At 43.1% G+C, this 19572-nt stretch overlaps 1 protein-coding gene across 6 annotated transcripts in view, besides 1 other annotated feature; it reads left to right on the top strand.

The window, feature by feature from the left end:
* The window catches only part of MSN (moesin), a 153555-nt gene that overhangs the window by 124159 nt on the left and 9824 nt on the right, over positions 1-19572 (top strand). For all 6 annotated transcript variants that reach the window (NM_001440778.1, XM_011530959.1, XM_047442130.1 and 3 more), the window contains 5 exons: positions 4283-4366; positions 15279-15374; positions 16903-17177; positions 18572-18655; positions 19303-19449. In NM_001440778.1, the coding sequence (NP_001427707.1) occupies positions 4283-4366; positions 15279-15374; positions 16903-17177; positions 18572-18655; positions 19303-19449 (686 nt within the window). The remainder of the gene's footprint in view (positions 1-4282; positions 4367-15278; positions 15375-16902; positions 17178-18571; positions 18656-19302; positions 19450-19572) is intronic.
* Positions 10252-10546: a silencer, noted in NCBI's record as "tiled region #13592; HepG2 Repressive non-DNase unmatched - State 24:Quies". NCBI's record gives its function as "represses a minimal TATA promoter and a strong SV40 promoter by Sharpr-MPRA in HepG2 cells {active_cell/tissue: HepG2}" and the evidence as "EXISTENCE:reporter gene assay evidence [ECO:0000049][PMID:27701403]".

A 19572-nucleotide genomic window follows, 5' to 3' on the forward strand; every position in this document is an offset into this window, starting at 1 on the left:
TGTAGATTAGATTTTTTTTTTTTTTTTTTAGTTTAAAGAAAGGAGAAAGCACCCATAAGATCACCACCCCAAAACCAAGCCTGACTAATACTTGGACAAGATTCCAATCATCCTTCTATGTATACATTTTACAAAGTTGAGCTCACGGACTCTATGAAATACTGTTTACATTTCCTCAATATTACTAAAGTGTCTTCCGTGAGCATGAAATAGTCTTCATAAAGATTTTGTATGACCATATAAGAAGCCATTTTGTGGCTGTACTATATACATTATTTAAGCAAAATATCTAACAACTAAAAATCAATCTTTTTTTTCTTTTAATGGGAGACTTTTGTACTCTGTAAGAGGAATTTAGCATATTGGTTTACATTGTGAGGTTTGGATTTAGACCTGGATTCAAACCCTGTCTCCCCTGCTTAATAGCAATGTGACTTTAGACAAATACCTATTTCTTTATCTCCAATGTGGAGATAATACTCTACTTCACAGGGTGATTATTGATATTAAATGAGGTAGTACATATGAAGTGCCTGGTGAGTAGCAAGTCTTGATACAGGAAAGCTGCTGCCTGTTACTATTACTACTGCTACCATTACTACTGAGTTTTCAGCCAAAGGACTAAATCTCTAATTATGAAATTTCAGCTATCATTGACCTAGCTTCGAGGATCTATTTGTAAAGGTGGTATTTTTTCTAGTGCCCGTGAAATCATGTGTGTGGCTGTCTCTTATTTTGGTCTGGGCCTGTTTCTGCACCTTTGTCCTCCCACTGAGTTGGCTTTGGTAGCCCCTCTATGCCACCCATACCCACCTCTACTGAGGCCCCCTTCCCCTCTTGAGCCTAAGGAAGCCAATGAGACATAAATATAGGAAGCATTAGCAATGCAAGGCAGTATATAGAACCACCGACATCAGCACTGAAATGGTCTTTGGACCATTTATCTAGTTTAATTGGCTGCCCTCCATCCCATTCCTGCCTTTGCACAGGTAAGGGAAACTAAGGCCCAGGAAAAGGACAGGAGTTATCCAAGGTTGTAGATTTGACCAGCTACATGCTAGGCTTGGAATCCAGTGTTCTTCTTTGTTTTTAATTTTTATTTTAAGTTCAGGGGTACATGTGCAGGTTTGTCATAAGGTAAACTCATGTCATGGGGGTTCATTGTACAGATCATTTTATCACCCAGGTATTAAGCCTAGTACCCATTAGTTATTAAAATATTTTTTCCTGATCATCTCCCTCCTCCCACCCTCCACCTTCTATGTGTCTGTGTGTTCTCATCATTTAATTCCCACTTATAAGTGAGAACATGTGGTATTCTACAACCTCTGCCTCCCGGGTTAAAGCGATTCTCGTGCCTCAGCCACCAAAGTAGCTGGGATTACAGGTGTGCACCACCTTGCCTGGCTAATTTTTGTGTTTTTAGTAGAGATGGGGTTTCGCTATATTGTCCAGGCTGGTCTTGAACTCCTGGCCTCAAGGGATGCGTCCATCTTGGCCTCCCAAAGTGCTGGGATTACAGGTGTGAGCTACCATGCCCAGTCTGGCATTTGATTTTCTGTTCCTGCATTAGTTTGCTAAGGATAATGACCTCCACTCCATTCATGTTCCTGCAAAGGACATGATCTTGTTGTTTTTTATGGCTGCATACTAACATACATTTTCTTTATCCAGTCTACCATTGACTGGCATTTAGGTTGATTCCATGTCATTGCTATTGTGAATAGTGCTTCAATGCACATGCGCGTTTATGTATTTTTATGATAGAATGATTTATATTCCTTTGGATATATACCCCATAATGATATTGCTGGGTTGAATGGTAGTTTTGTTTTCAGGTCTTTGAGAAATTGCCACACTGTTTTCTACCATGGTTGAACTAATTTACACTCCCACCAACAGTGTATAAAGGTTCCCTTTTCTTTGCAATCTCACTAGCATCTGTTATTATTTTTTTTTGATTTTTTAATAATAGCTATTCTGACTTGTGTGAGATGGTATCTCATTGTGGTTTTGATTTGCATTTCTCTAATGATGTAAATTTTTTATATATGCTTCTTGGCCACATGTATGTCTTCTTTTGAAAAGTGTCTCTTCATATCCTTTGCTCACATTTTAATGGGGTTGTTTTTTTTCTTGTAAATTTGTTAAAGTTCCTTATAGATGCTGGATATTAGACCTTTGTAAGTTGCATAGTTTGCAAATATTTTCTCTGGTTCCGTAGGTTGCCTGTTAACTCGATAGTTTCTTTTGCTGTGCAGAAGCTCTTTAGTTTAGTTAGATCTCATTTGTCAATTTTTGCTTTTGTTGCAATTGCTTTTGGCGTCTTTGTTATGAAATCTTTGTCCATTCCTATGTTCAGAATGGTATTACGTAGGTTTTCTTTGAGGGTTTTTATAATTTTGAGTTTTACATTACTTTTACATTTAAGTCTTTAATACATATAGAGTTGATTTTTATATGTGAGATAAGGATGGGGTCCAGTTTCAATCTTCTACATATGGCTAACCAGTTATCCCAGCACTGTTTATTGAATTGGGAGTCCTTTTTCCATTGCTTGTTTTTGTCGACTTTGTCAAAGATCAGATGGTTGTAGGTGTGTGGCCTTATTTCTGGGCTCTCTATTCTGCTCCATTGGTCTCTGTGTCTGTTTTTGTACCAGTACAATGCTGTTTTGGTTACTGGAGCCCTCTAGTATCATTTGAAGTTGGGTAGCATGATGCCTCCAGCTTTGTTCTTTTTGCTTAGGATTGCCATGGTTATTCAGGCTGTTTTTTTGTTTCCATATGAATTTTAAAATAGTTTTTCCTAGTTCTGTGAAGAATGTCATTGGTAGTTTGATAGGAATAGCATTGAGTCTATTCTATGAATTGCTTTGGGCAGTATCACCATTTTAACAATATTGATTCTTCCTATTCATGAGCATGGACTGTTTCTCCATTTGTTTGTGTCATATCTGATTTCTTTGAGCAGTGATTTGTAGTTCTTCTTGTAGAGATCTTTCGCTTCCCTAGTTAACAGTATTCCTAGATATTTATTCTTTTGTGGCAGTTCTGAATGGGATTGCCTTCCTGATTTGGCTCTTGGCTTGACTGTTGTTGGTGTATACGAATGCTAGTGACTTTTGTATGTTGATTTTTGTACACTGAGACTTTGCTGAAGTTATTTATCAGATTAAGGAGCTTTTGGGCCGAGACTATTGGATTTTCTAGATATAGGATCATGTCATCTGCAAACAAGGATAGTTTGACTTCCTCTCCTCTTGCTTGGTTGCCCTCTATTTCTTTCTCTGGTCTGATTGCTCTGGCCAGGACTTCTAATACTATGTTGAATATGAGTGGTGAGAGAGGGCATTCTTGTCTTGTGTCGGTTTTAAAAGGGAATGCTTCCAGCTTTGGCGCATTCAGTATGATGTTGGTTGTGGCTTTATCAGATGGCTCTTATTATTTTGAGGTATGCTCCTTCAATACCTAGTTTATTGAGAACTTTTAACATGAAGGGGTGTTAGATTTTATTGAAAGCTTTTTCTGCCCTTTAGATTATCATGTGGAACCCAGTGCTCTTTGTCCTGATATTAATTTGCCTCTGCAATTGTTTACCAGTGCTATAGATAATCCAGGTAGATCAGAGGTGAGAAGAGAACCCTGTGAGATGAAGCTGTCTAGTATAGATGGAAAGGCCTTCCTGGAAGAAGTACAGTTATCATTTGCCTGCTCTTAGTTGTAGGCTGATCTGCATTCTTTTTTAAAAATTTTTTTGAGACAAAGTCTCGCTCTGTTGCCCAGGTTGGAGTGCAGTGGTGTGATCTCGGCTCACTGCAACCTCTACCTTCTGGGTTCCAGTGATTCTCATACCCCAGCCTCCCAAGTAGCTTGAACTACAGGTGTGCACCACCATGCCCGGATAATTTTTGTATTTTTAGTAGAGATGGGGTTTTGCCATGTTACCCAGGCTGGTCTCGAACTCCTGGCCTCAAGCAATCCACCCACCTCGGCCTCCCAAAGTGCTGGGATTACAGGCATGAGGCATTGCACCCGGCCTTCATGCTTGTCTGTTCTTTGGTAAGTATTGCTCTGTGGCTGTGTTGTTTGTCTTCAATAAGCTGCTTGGGAGCAGGGGTTGTGTTTGGGTCAATATTCTCCCTTCATCCCCATCAGTATCTAAGTTGCCCAGGCTCTTAGCATCCTAACTCCTTCCTCTGTGGTTGAGCAGAGACACTTGTCTCAGGCTCTGTTGAACACAGAGCCAGATGACTAACCTGCTTCCTTTGATCTCATCCTAGATCAGTGTGCGTGTGACCACCATGGATGCAGAGCTGGAGTTTGCCATCCAGCCCAACACCACCGGGAAGCAGCTATTTGACCAGGTAAGGCGGAGACTCCTTAGCCTCCTCTCCTTCTCTGAATAGCTTCCACCACAATGCCAACAATCCATGACTTTTGCCTCTTGTCAAAGAATCTCTCTTCCTGTTCACTCCAAGATAGATCAAAATGAAGGCTGATTCCAGACTTAATATGAAAGGAGGCAAAGTTAAACTTTGGCAGCCTGCACCCTATGGTCCTGATTAATTTTATCTTTGGTCCTGAATAAGGGAGAAAAGAAAATGGTGTATATTCTATGCTAGATGCTTTAAAAATCTTAGCATATGGAGCCTTCCTTTTAACTCTGAAACATGTAAGTGATGTCTTCTCCATTTTAATGATGAGGCTCAGAAGTTAAATAACTTAATTGCACCCAAATGATATTTGGCTGGGATTTGCACTCCACATTGTTGCCACTGCACCACACTGCCTCTGTCCCATGTTTTTGCTTCCTAGTAGAAGGAAACTAACTTACTCTCCCTGAGGTAGTAAGCTCTATGCACATTTCTCTCAAAAGAATGTTGGGACTTAGGACAACATGGGAGTTGATGGATGCAGTAGGAGGCTGCTTCATCTCCTACAGGCATGCCATGAAGATAATTGCTTACTCGCCATAGTGAAGAGGTCATTCCCATCTCCAACCCAAGGGGTGTCCCTTCATTGTGAATCATTATTGTCAGAAAGGATGTACTGTATACTATAATAAACAGATGGCAGCTACAGACATTTTTAGCATTCAAGGGAATGTGCCGTCTGTGGCCAGACTTCTAGGAGCAAAAATGAGGCTCCCATTTCCAGAGGCTGGGACCTCACCAGACAGGCCATTATCCTATTTCTCCACCAGACTCCGATGAAGTGGAGGTCTGAGTTATTGTCCAGGATGTTAGGCTGCATATCACCCTGATGGATTCTCCAGGCCCTCTTGCTTCCCTTTCTTCCTTGCTCTCTGTGTCCTTCTACCATATGAGAACTTCCCCAGGGTTGGAGAGAGGAAGAAAAAAAGAAGGAGGTAGTGTTCAAATAAGCTAATTCTATTCCTGTGAATACTTCTGACTGGTGAGAGAAAAGACAAGAGTAGAATGGAGACAGGGGTAGGAGAGGGCTAGAAATTTGAGGACAGCTTGGGTACACCTTCTGAGTTCTTATTACATAGAGTGGGAAAATTATTGTCTGTGGCTAATACAGATGAGAGTTAACATTTATCCAGGACTCAGTGTATGCTAAGTATTATGATAAGCATTTGACTATCACAAAGCTCTGTGAGTGCATGAATTAGTATGGGCATGTTTTACAGATGAGGACACAAAATCCTCATTTTCCTAGTTAGACCCTGGGAAAATTATTGAACTCTCTGGGTTGGTATCTTCATCCCCTCCCCCCGAGAAATATCTAATACTTACCTCACAGGATTTTTGTGAGTGTGTTATGTTTTGTATCTTACCTGTTACTCAAAAATCTGATTATAGTGGCATATAAGGATGTCCAATCCAAAAAGATAAATTCGAAATAGGTGAGAAAGATAAGAAAACACAAATAGGAAAGAAAGTGTTAGCTGGAAGAAAGCATCCAGCATATGGTAGAGAAGTAATAAATGATAGCTCCCTTTCCAATACCATTGTGCTTCTTGTATTATTAATTGAGCTGGAGTTGACGTGATGTGGTGGCTCATGTCTGTAATCCTAACACTGAGATGGGAGGATTGCTTGAGCCCAGGGGCTCGAGACCAGCCTGGGTAACACAGCGAGACCCTGTCTCTACAAAAAATTTAAAAATTAGCATGGCATGGTGGTGCACACCTATAGTCCCAGCTACTCAGGAGATTGTGCCAGGAGGGTTGCTCAAGCCCAGGAGTTCAAGGTTACAGTGAGCTATGATCACGCCACTGTACTCCAGCCTAGGTGACAGAGCAAGACTCTGTCTCTAAAAAAAAAAAAAAAAAGTAAAGAAAAATAATCTAGAATTGGGAGAATTGGGAGATGGGCTTAATGATCCTCAGAATATCTAACTTCAGATTTAGGTGGAACTTACTTCTCTGGAGTTTGTTTTGTGTTTGTTTTACTTTGAATGGCAAAGTGTAATCATTGATACTTAATTGGTGAAAATACAAATTAGTCTGAGGAATATTTAAATACAAGTTTACTACAATTAAAGTGATGTGCTTACATTCACATAGCTCACAAGTGATTATGGTGCTAGTCTGGAATGACTAAATGCATTCTAATTATAATTGTGCTTTGCATTCTCTCTTCACATGGAGGTTATATTGGAGAACTTTTAAAGGGACAGCCTAGTGAAGTCAAAAGGGCCTGGATAGAAAGTCATGAATCTTGGGCTGTAGGGTTGGCTCTATCACTAATTCGCTGTGATACAAACGTTTCCCTTATTTGGGCCTCAGTTTCTCATCTGTACAATGCCTAACTTGTTTCTCAAATCTGGTTATCTCTCAGAAAATTTATCTCTGGCATTTATTTGTGCATTCCATCTCTCTTTCTCTCCCATTTCTGTTCCTAGTATTGGGATTTCAGACAATCCTTTTCTGTAAAAAGGAGAGAAATGCCTCACCTGAGTATGATCAGCTGCTGGCATATGTGAGGAGGTAGGGCTAGCTGGCAGGGGGATCATCTCTTCCTTGACAGGCTTTTTACTGTCTCTAAGACAAAAGGGAGGAAGTGTCCATAGAACACATAGGCTTTTGGGCCCTTTGCTTTAGACAGCAGTATCATTCTGGGTAGCAGCTATTAGAGAGGGAAGCGGTTAGTCAGTGCAGATTTTACAGACCAGCTGGGAGCCAGAGGCTCCTTTGACATTTACCTATACTCCTTCCAAGAGCCCTGATTCTACTAATTCCCCATCCCAAACCAGATGACGCCATCCTCTACCCTCAACACTGGGGGCTTTGTATATGTGCATTGCAGGGGGATGGCTGTGGAGGATGAGGAAGGCATGATTTGGAGCCTAGTGGGGGCAGAAAAATTCTTGAACAAAGAGGTTTATTAACTTCAAAAAACCTCAATGCCTGGTAGTTTTTTGTTAGTGTTGGTTTGGTTTGTGTGCTGTGGGTGTGGATTTGAGGGAAGTCCAGATAGTAGGGAACCCCAGATAGTAGGGAACCCTGGGCAGATTGGTATGCTAGTTCTGAATGCTACTGCTTCCAAAACAAAGCCTTTGGGAGACTTGGAAACCAAGAAGTCCATGACTTCTCATCATTGTTATCTTGAGAAGTATCATTTATTGAGCACATACTATGGCCTATTCCTGGCTAGGCGCTTTAATCCTCACAATGCTCCTGCCTCTGTGAGGTGAAAGAACATACTCTAGGTCATGTAGTTAGTAAGTTGTGATATGGAATTTTGAATACAACTCTGATCACAAAACTATACTTTTCCTGCACTGCACTACTCTGTTTGGGGTGATTGGGAGTATTCAACTTAGAGAAGACTCAAGGAAGATATGCTTTCTGTCTTCAGACCTCTGAAGGACTATCATAAGAAGGAGGGGGGCAGTCACATTCTGTGAGTCAGAGGGACAGAGGTGGACCCCACAGGTGAGAAAATACAGGGAAAAAGATTTGAACTCAAGGAATTGAGCATTTGGCCCTCTTGAGGCCAAGGCAGGTCAGGTCAGGAATCAGTAGAGTTATGTGTTCATAGGCATTTGGGGGATGTGAGCTCTTCTCTCTCTAACTTGATGAGGCATAAGGGAGGAAGTCCGTTCTGTCTGGCTCTTGGGACCCATCATTCAAGGAGGCCCTCCTGGTAGAGCCTGGGCCTGGGAGGAAGGAGCTAGACTCCTTGGCAGGAATTGGCAAAAGCTTTATGGCCATCCTGGAACGCAGCAGTCATCTGGCCAATGACCAGAGAGGAAGCCAACCAGAGAGGAAGTACTCCTTGGCACCAGCAATAAATAATAGGCAACAATGGGATGCCATAGCTTGAGGAAGTCTAGGGCCTGGTGGGAAAGGGAAGTAGGACTCATAGTTTGTCTCATTTACCTCTCTTCTTGTGAGTGTGCTACAGCTAGAGGGGAGAGAGAACATGTTTTGCTATAGTGATTTTGTCACTTGCTTCAACTTCTAAAGCTTTTGATCTTGGATTACCTAGGTGCCACTAAAGGGCTGTGCTCAAGGACAGAGGTGAAATCTCAAAGCATCGATTCATTCATCTATTTACTGATTCATTTAATATTGACTGAAGGTCTACACTGTCGAACACCATCTCTGTTCTTCAGGAACTTGGAGTTCCTTACCTATAAAAGCATAGAAAGGCACATGCAACTCTCTACCCACAAAGAAAGAAATAAACGCCCTTGAGGTCAGGTTCCATGGGGTGATATATAAAGCATAGGATTTAGAACCAGCCCTGAGTTCAAATTCTGTCCTGTTACTTCGCTGTGTGACCTTGGATGGCTCATTTAGCCTCTCAGTACTTTCCTTTCCTTTGTAAAATGATAATCATGCTAATCTCAGATTTTGTGATTTAATCCTCAAATAAGTAAAATGCCTGGTGCATACCAAGCATTCTAATATTGGTGGTTCTTATTAAGGACTAAAGTAGGTGGCATTGCCCTGAGAGTTCAGATGAGGGAGCTATGAAATCAGGAAGTTCTTCTGGCTCAGTAAAGTACTTAGGACTTGAATACTCTGCAATAAGGACAGTAAACCTTTTTTTTTTTCATTTTATAAAATAACTAACATATATTATAGTAGGAGGATCTCCATCTTACAGATGAGGAACTGAGGCTTACAGAGGTGAAATTATCTGTTTAAGGTCATATAGCTAGGAAGTGGTATAGCTGGGGCTTAAACCAGGGCACATAGCATTTCCAGTTTTTCTAATGCTTTTGATCAACTGTCCTCTGGAACCTTCTTCCACTTTACCTGCTTCCAAAACTTAGAACCCTAGCTAGGTTGGGCATGGTGGCTCATGCCTGTAATCCTAGTGCTTTGGGAGTCCAAGGTGAGAGGATCACTTGAGGCTAGGAGCTTCAGACCAGCCTGGGCAACATAGCGAGACCCCATCTCTACAAAAACTTAAAAATTAGCTGGGCATGGTGGTGCATGCCTGTAGTCCTAGCTACTTGGGTGGCTGGGGCTGGAGAATCACTTGAGTCCAGGAGTTCAAGGTTACAGTGAGCTATGATTGCACCACTGCACTCCAGCTTGGTTAACAGCAAGACCCTATCTCTAAACAAACAAACAAAAAACGATAAAAGAAAGAAACTTAGAACCTCAGCTGAGTATGTTCTCTGTTATAGAGCAGGTGACCACTTGACCACAGGCAATGTGTAATAACAGAAACAGCAATAGTGGTAGCCCATCTTGGTGCTTTCCAGTGGTGCAATAATTTGCTTTCAGGTGGGTGGCTGATGCAGATGCTGCCAAATCTGTAATGGTATCTTGGGGGTCTCAGGTGTTTGGGCATTGATGCAGTTTTGCACATTGTTTCTCACACAGTTCTTCTCTTGTGGCTCCAGCATTACTCCCTCATTCTCCTCTAGGCGTGCACGCTCGTGTGTGTGTGTGTGTGTGTGTGTGTGTGTGTGTGTGTTTGGAGACAAGGTCTCGCTCCGTCACCCAGGCTGGAGTGCAGTGGTGTGATCTCACTGCAACCTTCGCACCCCACAGTCTCAAGTGATCCTCCCACTTCAGCCTTCCAAGTAGCTGGGACCACAGGTGCCCACACCAGCTATCTTTTTGTATTTTTAGTAGAGATGGGGTCTCACCATGTTGCCTGGGCTGGTCTCGAACTCCTGAGCTCAAAAGATCTGCCCCGCCCCAGCCTCCCAAAATGCTGGGATTACAGGATGAGCCACTGCGCCCGGCCATGCTCTGGGCTTTTGAAGTGGCTGATGACATCACTAGTTTGTTTACTCAGATAAATGCATGGGGGATTCAAGAAGAGAATTTCTGGGCTTTTGAAGTGGCTGATGACATCACTAGTTTGTTTACTCAGATAAATGCATGGGGGATTCAAGAAGAGAATCTCTGGGCTCCTAAGCTGACCTGATCTCCGCTCCCCTCTACAGACCTCAGATGTAGGTTGCCTCCACATGTCAAAAGGAGGTAAAGGGTTTTTTTTTCTTGCTTCCAGAAGCTCCTGATAATTAACGAGGATGTACTCCAAGGCAGATCTTTTCTTTTCACTGCACCTCAGTTTTCCATTTTATGTTGCTTGAACCCTGTAACTCTCCACAGTCATGGAGCTGAGTAGAATACACAACCTCCAGTTTCTTAAGCTAGTGTCTTAAAAACTGAAGTCCTACTTTCTTTAGGTGTATGGGGCAGGTTCCAGGAGGGATACAAAGCTGTGAGATGAATGTGGTTTAGTATTCTAGAGCATTAATTTTACTTGCAATAATTTTAAAAATTCATTATTTATGGAGTAGAATATAAAATTTGCACAAATAATTAAACCTGAGGCTTCAAAGAAATTATAGCTGGGTTACAGCCATCTACCTATTATCTCCCCCTACCCCATCCTACCACACCCCCTATGTCCCTTGGGTATATGCATTCATTATTTTCTGCTGCTTAAGGATTTTTTCCATGGGAGCTTTGAGAAATACTGGCTCAGATCCGATAAGCTGGCTGTCGGGTCAAAGGGAGCCAATAAAGAATTTTCTTTTTCCTCAGGGATAGGACCATTTCTCAGAGTGGAATGATAAGGACCCTAGTCACTGGAGCCACAGAGGTTATTCCTGGAACTGGAAGCTAGATGCTAAGCTCTCACTTGAAAATAAGGTTTCTCTTTCCTCTGGAATGGAGGTCTCAACTGGAAGCAAAGCTGGAAGCAAGAAAAACTTGGCTTGGAAAAGGGGTTTAGAGTTGCCTGATAAAATGGTTCACAGCACCCCCATGGGCCTTAGAGATTTCCTTGTAGCCTGGGGTCAGGAGTCATCCATTTTTGTTCTTTGTTCTTTTTCAGTTTCAATTCTGATTTCAGACCATATTTCCTTCCCGCCACGTCCTCAATTTCTCACTTTGAGACTTCAGTGCAGGCTGAGAGATATTACTCATCTCTTTAAGCCCTAGAGCCTAAGGAAGTGGAACATTTATGTTTCTGATTTCTTTATGTTCACAAAGGAAGAGACAGTGCTCAGAGAGATCACCCTCCCTCCCCCCAGCACTGAGCCTGAATTCTCTCTTTTTTTTTTTTTGACATCACTTTAGGTATTACTTTGCCCAACTTCTCCTGAGTTACTCTGGATCTCAGAACTACTTTAGTCACCATGATCCTTCTCTCTCTCTCTCTCTTTTTTTTTTTTTTGAGACAGAGTTTCACTCTTGTTGCCCAGGCTGGAGTGCAATGGCGCGATCTCGGCTCACTGCAACCTCTGCTTCCTGGGTTCAAGCGATTCTCCTGCCTCAGTCTCCCAAGTAGCTGGGATTACAGGCATGTGCCACCACACCCAGCTAATTTTCTATTTTTAGTAGAGACGGGGTTTCACCATGTTGGTCAGGCTGGTCTTGAACTCCTGACCTCAGGTGATCCACCTGTCTTGGCCTCCCAAAGTGCTGGCATTATAGGCATGAGCCACCACACCTGGCTAATCCTCCTTCTCTTATCACACCCCTACTCCCACCCAATAGTGAAACAGACAACGTGGTGCAAAAAGAGGCTAACGGTCTCACTCCTGGGATTTCTGGGACTGGCTGCATAGTCTGTGCCTACCTCACTTCCTTTCAGTCTTGGAGTCTCTTAGCCTCTACAATTAGTCTGTTAGTACAGGCAAAGACCAGTTGCTGCTTGTCTGAGTCCATTTTATGTTTGTTTTGTTTTGTTTTTGTTTGTTTGTTTGTTTGTTTGTTTTTGACAGTGTCTTGTTCTGTCACCCATACTGGAGTGCAGTGGTGCAATCTCAGCTCACTGCATCCTCCACCTCCCAGGTTCAAGCTATTCTTCTGCCTCAGCCTCCCGAGTAGCTGGGACTATAGGCACGCACCACCATGCCCGGCTAATTTTTTTGTATTTTTAGTAGAGACCAGGTTTCACCATGTTAGTCAGGATGGTCTCGATCTCCTGACCTCATGATCTGCCCATCTCAGCCTCCCAAAGTGCTGGGATTATAAGCGTGAGCCAACACGCCCAGCCCATTTTATGTTCTTATAATAAAATACCTGGAGCTAGTTACTTTATACAGAAAAGAGGCTTATTTGTCTCCTAATTGTAGTGGCTGTAAAGTCCAAGAGCATGGCACCAGCACCTGCTCAGCCTCTGGTGAGGGCCTTTGTGCTGTTTCATAATGTGACAAAAGGTCAAGTAATTCACAGGGACAGGGGTCCCCATGACTGAAACACCTCTCATTACATACTACCTCTTAATGATTCTACCTCCCAGCACTGCCACACCGGCAATGAAGCATCAACATGAGTTTTGGTGGGGACAAACCACATCCAAACCATAGCACTGCTCTACTACTTCTGTTCCAAGTCTGTTCTCCCCCCATGACCTAATATCCTGGCCCTCATGGTCCATCTTCTTCTCTTCAGCATCTTCAGTGGGTCTTCTCTCTCTCTCTCTTTTTTTTTCTCTCTCTCTCAGCTGGATTGTTTCTTGGATCTTGCCTTTTCCCACCAATTGCATCTGGACACACTATTCTTCTGCAACCCTGTGGAAAATGATTAGAACTGTTAATTGGGCCTTGGGCCCTGTTTAGATCTAGGATGATATACAAGGTGCTTTAAAAAAATCTTTTCTGTTCACGCCCACCCACTACCTTCATCCTCTGCAAAAAGCCAATATTACATTTCAACATAAGCATTCACATTTCTCCATCTGAAACTTTCTGGCAGTTCCAGCTGCCTATTGACTTAGAGTCAGGGAATCAACTGGCCATTGAATTCTGGAAGCCTTTTGAACTTTCCTCATTACCTCCCACCCCCACTGATCTTTTCTAAACATGTTTCTAATTATCCACATCAGCAAGAGGTAGCTGGGAAATGGGATTGTTTTTATTAACCATTTGCAAAATAACCTTGTAATGTAATTAGTACAATGATAGAACTTAAGAGAAAAAAGAGATCATTGAAGCCATACTCCCCAATTTGGATAGATAAGGAAGGCGAGGCCCAGAGAGGAAATATGCTACCTTGATATCATACAGCTAGTTGGAGACAGACATGAACATTTTGCTCAGGTTTCCTGATACTTGATCCAAGCTATGAAGGGGAAGGGTGACCTGGTGAGCAATGAAGGTCGATGACTTGGGGGACATGGCTTCTCCCCAAAGTGGTTGTCGCTTGGGTCTAGTGGGAATGCCAGGAAGCATATCTCGATGCAGAAGTGATCAAAGTTTATTACCTGGATGGGAAATTTGGGCCAAAGGAGAGACAAGGCAATTAATCACTTGAGAAGCTCAGGAGTCGTAAGCTCATATGAGTACTTGGCATTAGGACATAGCATGCTAGAGAAGAAAAGGTACAAGCTCTATAGTCAGACACATCATGGTTCTATATGGCTCTGTAATTTTAGATGCATTACCTCTCTAAGCCTTAGTTCCTCATCTATAATATGGGTATAATTGCTATCTCACAGGGTTGTTTACTGTTCAGCGCCTGACACATGATTGGTGCTTAATAAATATGAGCTACTTTTTTCTTTGGGGTCTCTGAAGCTCTAGATTGTAAACTCTGGGTGTGACTGTGGGGCCTGACTTTGGATGCATAATAGAAACTTTGTGGATACAGTGTTAGTGTGTGTATGTGTGTCTTTGTGAGTGAGTGTGTGTGTGCATGTGTGTGTGTGTATTTTGAAGGGAGATATTAATTTGTTCATAAGGGAAGGACATCAGCAAAACTGGGTCCTTGTTCCCTGCTTCCATCTCCAGGTATATTTCTATGATTCTTTCTCACCTTACCCTTACCCTCCACTTGCATCCTTCTCCCAAAAAACAAAATAAAAAAGACTGCCTAAGGCCAGCCTGACCTCATTAGGATGTGGCTCAGCTTCACTGCTGCCATCGACAGTGGTGGGTATGCTGGGGTTGAGCTGAGGGCCAGACTATTAACATGCTAATGTCAGGGACTAGAGAACAGAGCTCATCTGTGTTCTCTTGGCAAGCCTCCTTTTCCTGCCCACTGTTCAGCCAGGAGGCTCAGGACAACAGGGGGCACCTCAGCTGCTACACTGAGGTACTTACCCTATTTCTACCCTCATTTCCACCCTAAACCTGTGTAAGAGGAATCATGACTTGGCTCTGATCAGGGTTGGAAAAAATCCTCTCAGAACCCAGGCACAGCATGGCTTCAGAGTCCTTCACAATCCCCGTTTTATCTTCTCAAACATTCTTTATTTGGGGTATTGTAAATGGAACTCAGTCTTAAGGGTGTGGGTATTACCCCCAGTTGCTAAGGATGAAGGACAATATATGGGAGTGGCCCAAGAGAACAAGATACAGGAGTTAATCCAACAATCTCCACCTTCAGCCTTTAATCCATCATGGAAGTGGGAAGTGGTGTGACATTGTAGAGGGAAGGAGGAGGTGGCAGAAATCACTGGATATGCATGGATTTGGAGTCAAACAGACCTGGTTTGAACCCTAATTCTGTCACTCACAACCTGAAACTTGGGCAAGTTATTTCATTTATTTGAACCTCATTTTTGATATCTATAAAATGGGCCTAATTGTAAGTCTAGCATAGGGGTATTATGAAAATTAAAGGAGATGATGGATGTAAGGTTCTTGGTATGTGTCAGTGCTCATAAGTAATAGATCCCTTTCCTGCCTCAGCAGTACTTTGTGCAGAGAGATGCCGACATCAGTTCTTGATTGCTGCTCAAGTATATTTTCTTGCCAGATGCTGAGCACCTTAAACCCTTTAAGGGCAGATATAATATTGACTTCAAACTTTGTGTCCTCTGTGCCTCACACAGAGGAAGTATTCAATCAATGGTTGGTTGTTTTGGTTTTCTCTTCTAGGTGGTGAAAACTATTGGCTTGAGGGAAGTTTGGTTCTTTGGTCTGCAGTACCAGGACACTAAAGGTTTCTCCACCTGGCTGAAACTCAATAAGAAGGTAACTGCTTATTCCTCTGTTGGATTTAGAATTCTTTTCTTTTCCAGAACATTCCTGGGAGGGTACCATGTGCTAGTTGGCAAATCCTGGATACCTAGGGCTGTGTTTGTGACTGGGTGGTCTGTTGACCACTTGGATCAGAATAAGGACCGAGGACACAAGCAAGGCAAAGCTCTTGCTCTGTCTCTACTTTGACTTCTAACAGCGACAATGGCCAGCATTCAAAGAAGAAGAGACTCTTTTCTTTCTAATGGGAACACTAGCTTGAACTTTGACTTGTTTTGGATCAAATCCATTAGTGGCTTTTCAAGAGAGGATTGGTATCCCCTTCATCTCTCCAAACTCAATGGCTTTAGGGGATTTGTGTTTTTTTTGTTTGTTTGTTTTTGTTTTGTTTTGTTTTTGACGGAGTCTCGCACTCTCGCCCAGGCTGGAGTGCAGTGGTGCCATCTCGGCTCACTGCAAGCTCCGCCTCCTGGGTTCACGCCATTCTCCTGCTTCAGCCTCTCGAGTAGCTGGGATTACAGGTGCCTGCCACCACGCCCGGCTAATTTTTTGTATTTTTAGTAGAGACGGGGTTTCACCGTTTTAGCCAGGATGGTCTCGATCTCCTGACCTTGTGATCCGCCCGCCTCGGCCTCCCAAAGTGCTGGGATTACAGGCATGAGCTACTGAGCTTGGCTGGGGATTTGTTAAAAAGAGCCACAGATTCTTGAACTAGAAAAAAAAAAATCTGAAAGATCTTACAGTCTTATGCTGCACCTTCTCCAGCAGTCAACTAATGTCTGAACCCCATATAGATGTTTCCCTCTTTCTTGATCTTTTACCTCAGTTGGACCCCAAATGGGATGGTTTGAGTCCATGCAAGCTCTCCACCCCAAGCAGCATCTTCACGGGAACCTGGCAGCCTTCCATCTTCGTATCCTCAAACTGGCTGGCCTTGTCCTTAGAAGTCTCCATACTGTCCTGCAGTTTGCTTCTCTGATTGTGTCTAGGGAGTAGGTACCCCACCTTCTGCTGGTAGAGTCTTGTTTTCCTAAAGAGTTGAGTCTTTTGCTGGACAAGTGTGGAGCCACTAGTATTCCATTTCAGGCTTTAAAAAATGGTCTAATTTGTGCTCTTGTTTAGCCAGTTCTCAGTCCTCAGACATATATCCTAGTCCTTACTTTGCTAATTTATGAAGTTGGAGGAGACTTATAAGACGAGCTTAAAAGAAGAGCTTATGCCTACTATCAGAATTTGGGGATAGTTGGATATAGTCAGATAAAAGTGGTTTGAAGATTTCTGATCATCAGTCGGTATTAAGGTAATTTCAGGAAGAAATTCCCAACAGAAAGTGATTACAGACATGGGATTCAGTCCCCAGTGAAAGTAATGTATTATTTTTCTTAATTACCAGGGGAGTTGCCACCCAGCTGTCTAAGATTATGCAAATTGATGATCTTTCAGTGTTTTCTCCCCACCCTACAGCCACTCCATTACCCTTAAAACCTATTTTTTGAGAGTCCATAACCCTTACTCTTCCCAGGTGACTGCCCAGGATGTGCGGAAGGAAAGCCCCCTGCTCTTTAAGTTCCGTGCCAAGTTCTACCCTGAGGATGTGTCCGAGGAATTGATTCAGGACATCACTCAGCGCCTGTTCTTTCTGCAAGTGAAAGAGGGCATTCTCAATGATGATATTTACTGCCCGCCTGAGACCGCTGTGCTGCTGGCCTCGTATGCTGTCCAGTCTAAGTATGGCGACTTCAATAAGGAAGTGCATAAGTCTGGCTACCTGGCCGGAGACAAGTTGCTCCCGCAGAGGTGAGGTGGTTCCCTGCCCTCCTTTGCCTTGGCCATAAGGGGCTGCAGCCCACAGCTGACCAATCCCTGCCTCACAGGGATGCCAGATCTGTTCTTCTCCATTGGGGTCTGTCTGAAGACTGTGTTATGCTGCTCAAGAGACATTTGCATATAGTGTCAGACTCTGTTGTTGTTTTTCTGGCTTTCCAAATAAAAAGCCTTTTTGTTTTCCCTCTGTCTACCTGGTTACAGAACTTTATTACCCTGGAGGCAGGTGCTTATATAGAACCAGAGATTGAGTAATTTCTTTCACCCATCCCTGGTTCCATTTTCTCAGTTCTTTTTACTGATTTAGATCTCTTATATCAGAAGTTCACAGGGGAGAGAGAGAAATAAGCAAACCGAGGACATGGGGAGCTCAAATAGTCTTTTAATATTGACAGCTAGTGTACAGAGCTTTCCCCTTTTGTAAACTTCAAAGTCAAAAGCTCTAAAACACTCATTATTTTTGTTTTTGTATCACAATAACACACAAAATGAACAAAGCAGGCAATATCCTTATTTCCTGGCGAAGGAAATAGAGGTGCAGAGGTACTCACACTGACTTTCCCCATCTGGTGCAGCTCATCTGAGGCAGAGCCAGAGCCAGACCTGGAAGCTTAGCACCTTAATATTTTAACACTAAGTTTTTTCCTACTATACCCAATGGCCATTTCCATAGTCTTTTGGATTAGAAGGAAAAGCTTTGCTTCATTCTGGGAGCCTCAGTCCCATTGGAGTTATGGCATATATGTACAACACACCCATAAGATATTAGGGATAGTGCTTGTACCCTGGGGACTCTACCTGAGTCATTGCCATGATATCTGAGATGGCATGTTTAAAGCAAACCTTGTTTATAATCTAGTAGGTCTTGGAGGTTGGGCCTGTTGGTTTTTCTGAAAGCCATTAGGACTCAGTTCATTGCTCTGTAGCCAAAGGCCATCCTTTCATTTCTGAGCAGTATTCTTATAAACATAGAGTGTTGGTCCTAAGAGGATCTAGGAGAGAGTGTACCTGACTCCATGAGGTCCATCCCTACTGTTAGCCCCTAAAGTCAGCACAAACTCCTGACACATTACTGCTATGCTTAGGGACCACAGCACATCATTTGATTTGTGGATGAAGGTACAAAGGAAGGTGTTCCCCTTGTTGTTTTTGATCATCCATTCTTGTAGCTCTCTTACCTTTCAGGCAATTCCTTGTGTCTAGTTTAACACCTTCTTGCTATAATTTCGGTCTGCTTCCAGTGTGACCTCAATTGGCTGACTCTACATCCTCTTTGCATCAGCCCCTTAGAAAGCTAAATGGGCTTCCCTTCTCTCCTGCACAGGGACTTTGTGCTTTAAACTACTCATCACCCATTGTCTTTCCAGAGTCCTGGAACAGCACAAACTCAACAAGGACCAGTGGGAGGAGCGGATCCAGGTGTGGCATGAGGAACACCGTGGCATGCTCAGGTAAGCTTGCCCAAGCAGTGGTGGGCCCCACTTCCCTTACAGGGTGAATGAGAATGCGTTCTAGGGAGAAGAGACTGATGACAAGGGACATTGGTGGATGTTGGAGAAAGAGGGAACAGGGACGATAGAAGGCAAACTAGGACCATTATAAGGCTGTTTTTTGTTTGCTTGTTTGTTTGTTTTGCTGAATGCTGGTAACTGGTAGCCCAAACAGTTTTGACTATCAAGAAATGGAGGGAGCTCTTACACATGGCAAAGCATTTTTGAGGGTTGTGTAGTTGAAGGACAAATATCATCATTTTGCCATCACCACATTCTGAGCCCTGCTAAGAATGTGCCTTTATAAGAGGCTGTCACAATGAATGAGAGAAAGAAAATTGCTTCTATGGCAGCCAACATGCCAGAGGCCAGCAAGGGTCAGCCCATCTTTATTCCCCTTGGGAGCTTAGACCCTAGGTTTTTGTTAGGAGATTTTGCTTTGCAAAAGTCATGCTGTGCTCTGTTCTCCATCATCTGCTTGCCTTTTGTCCCCTTTCCCACTCCTGATAGCAAGATCCTTGTCAGAAGTACAGAGTAAGCAGGCTTTCTATCTCCTTGGGTCTGACTCACAAGCCCCACTTTGTGACCCCCAACTCTGTGTCATTTAGGGAGGATGCTGTCCTGGAATATCTGAAGATTGCTCAAGATCTGGAGATGTATGGTGTGAACTACTTCAGCATCAAGAACAAGAAAGGCTCAGAGCTGTGGCTGGGGGTGGATGCCCTGGGTCTCAACATCTATGAGCAGAATGACAGGTATATCTCAGATCTCTTTTAGTTTATTTAGGTCACGTTAACATCTAGGGCTCACTTTTCACCAAGGAGCAGGGCCATATCTCTTGGGTCCCATCTCAGTTCTTTTTCTACCTAATTTAGTCC

Source organism: Homo sapiens, chromosome X (genome assembly GCF_000001405.40).
Source record: "Homo sapiens chromosome X, GRCh38.p14 Primary Assembly".
Lineage (NCBI taxonomy): Eukaryota > Metazoa > Chordata > Mammalia > Primates > Hominidae > Homo > Homo sapiens.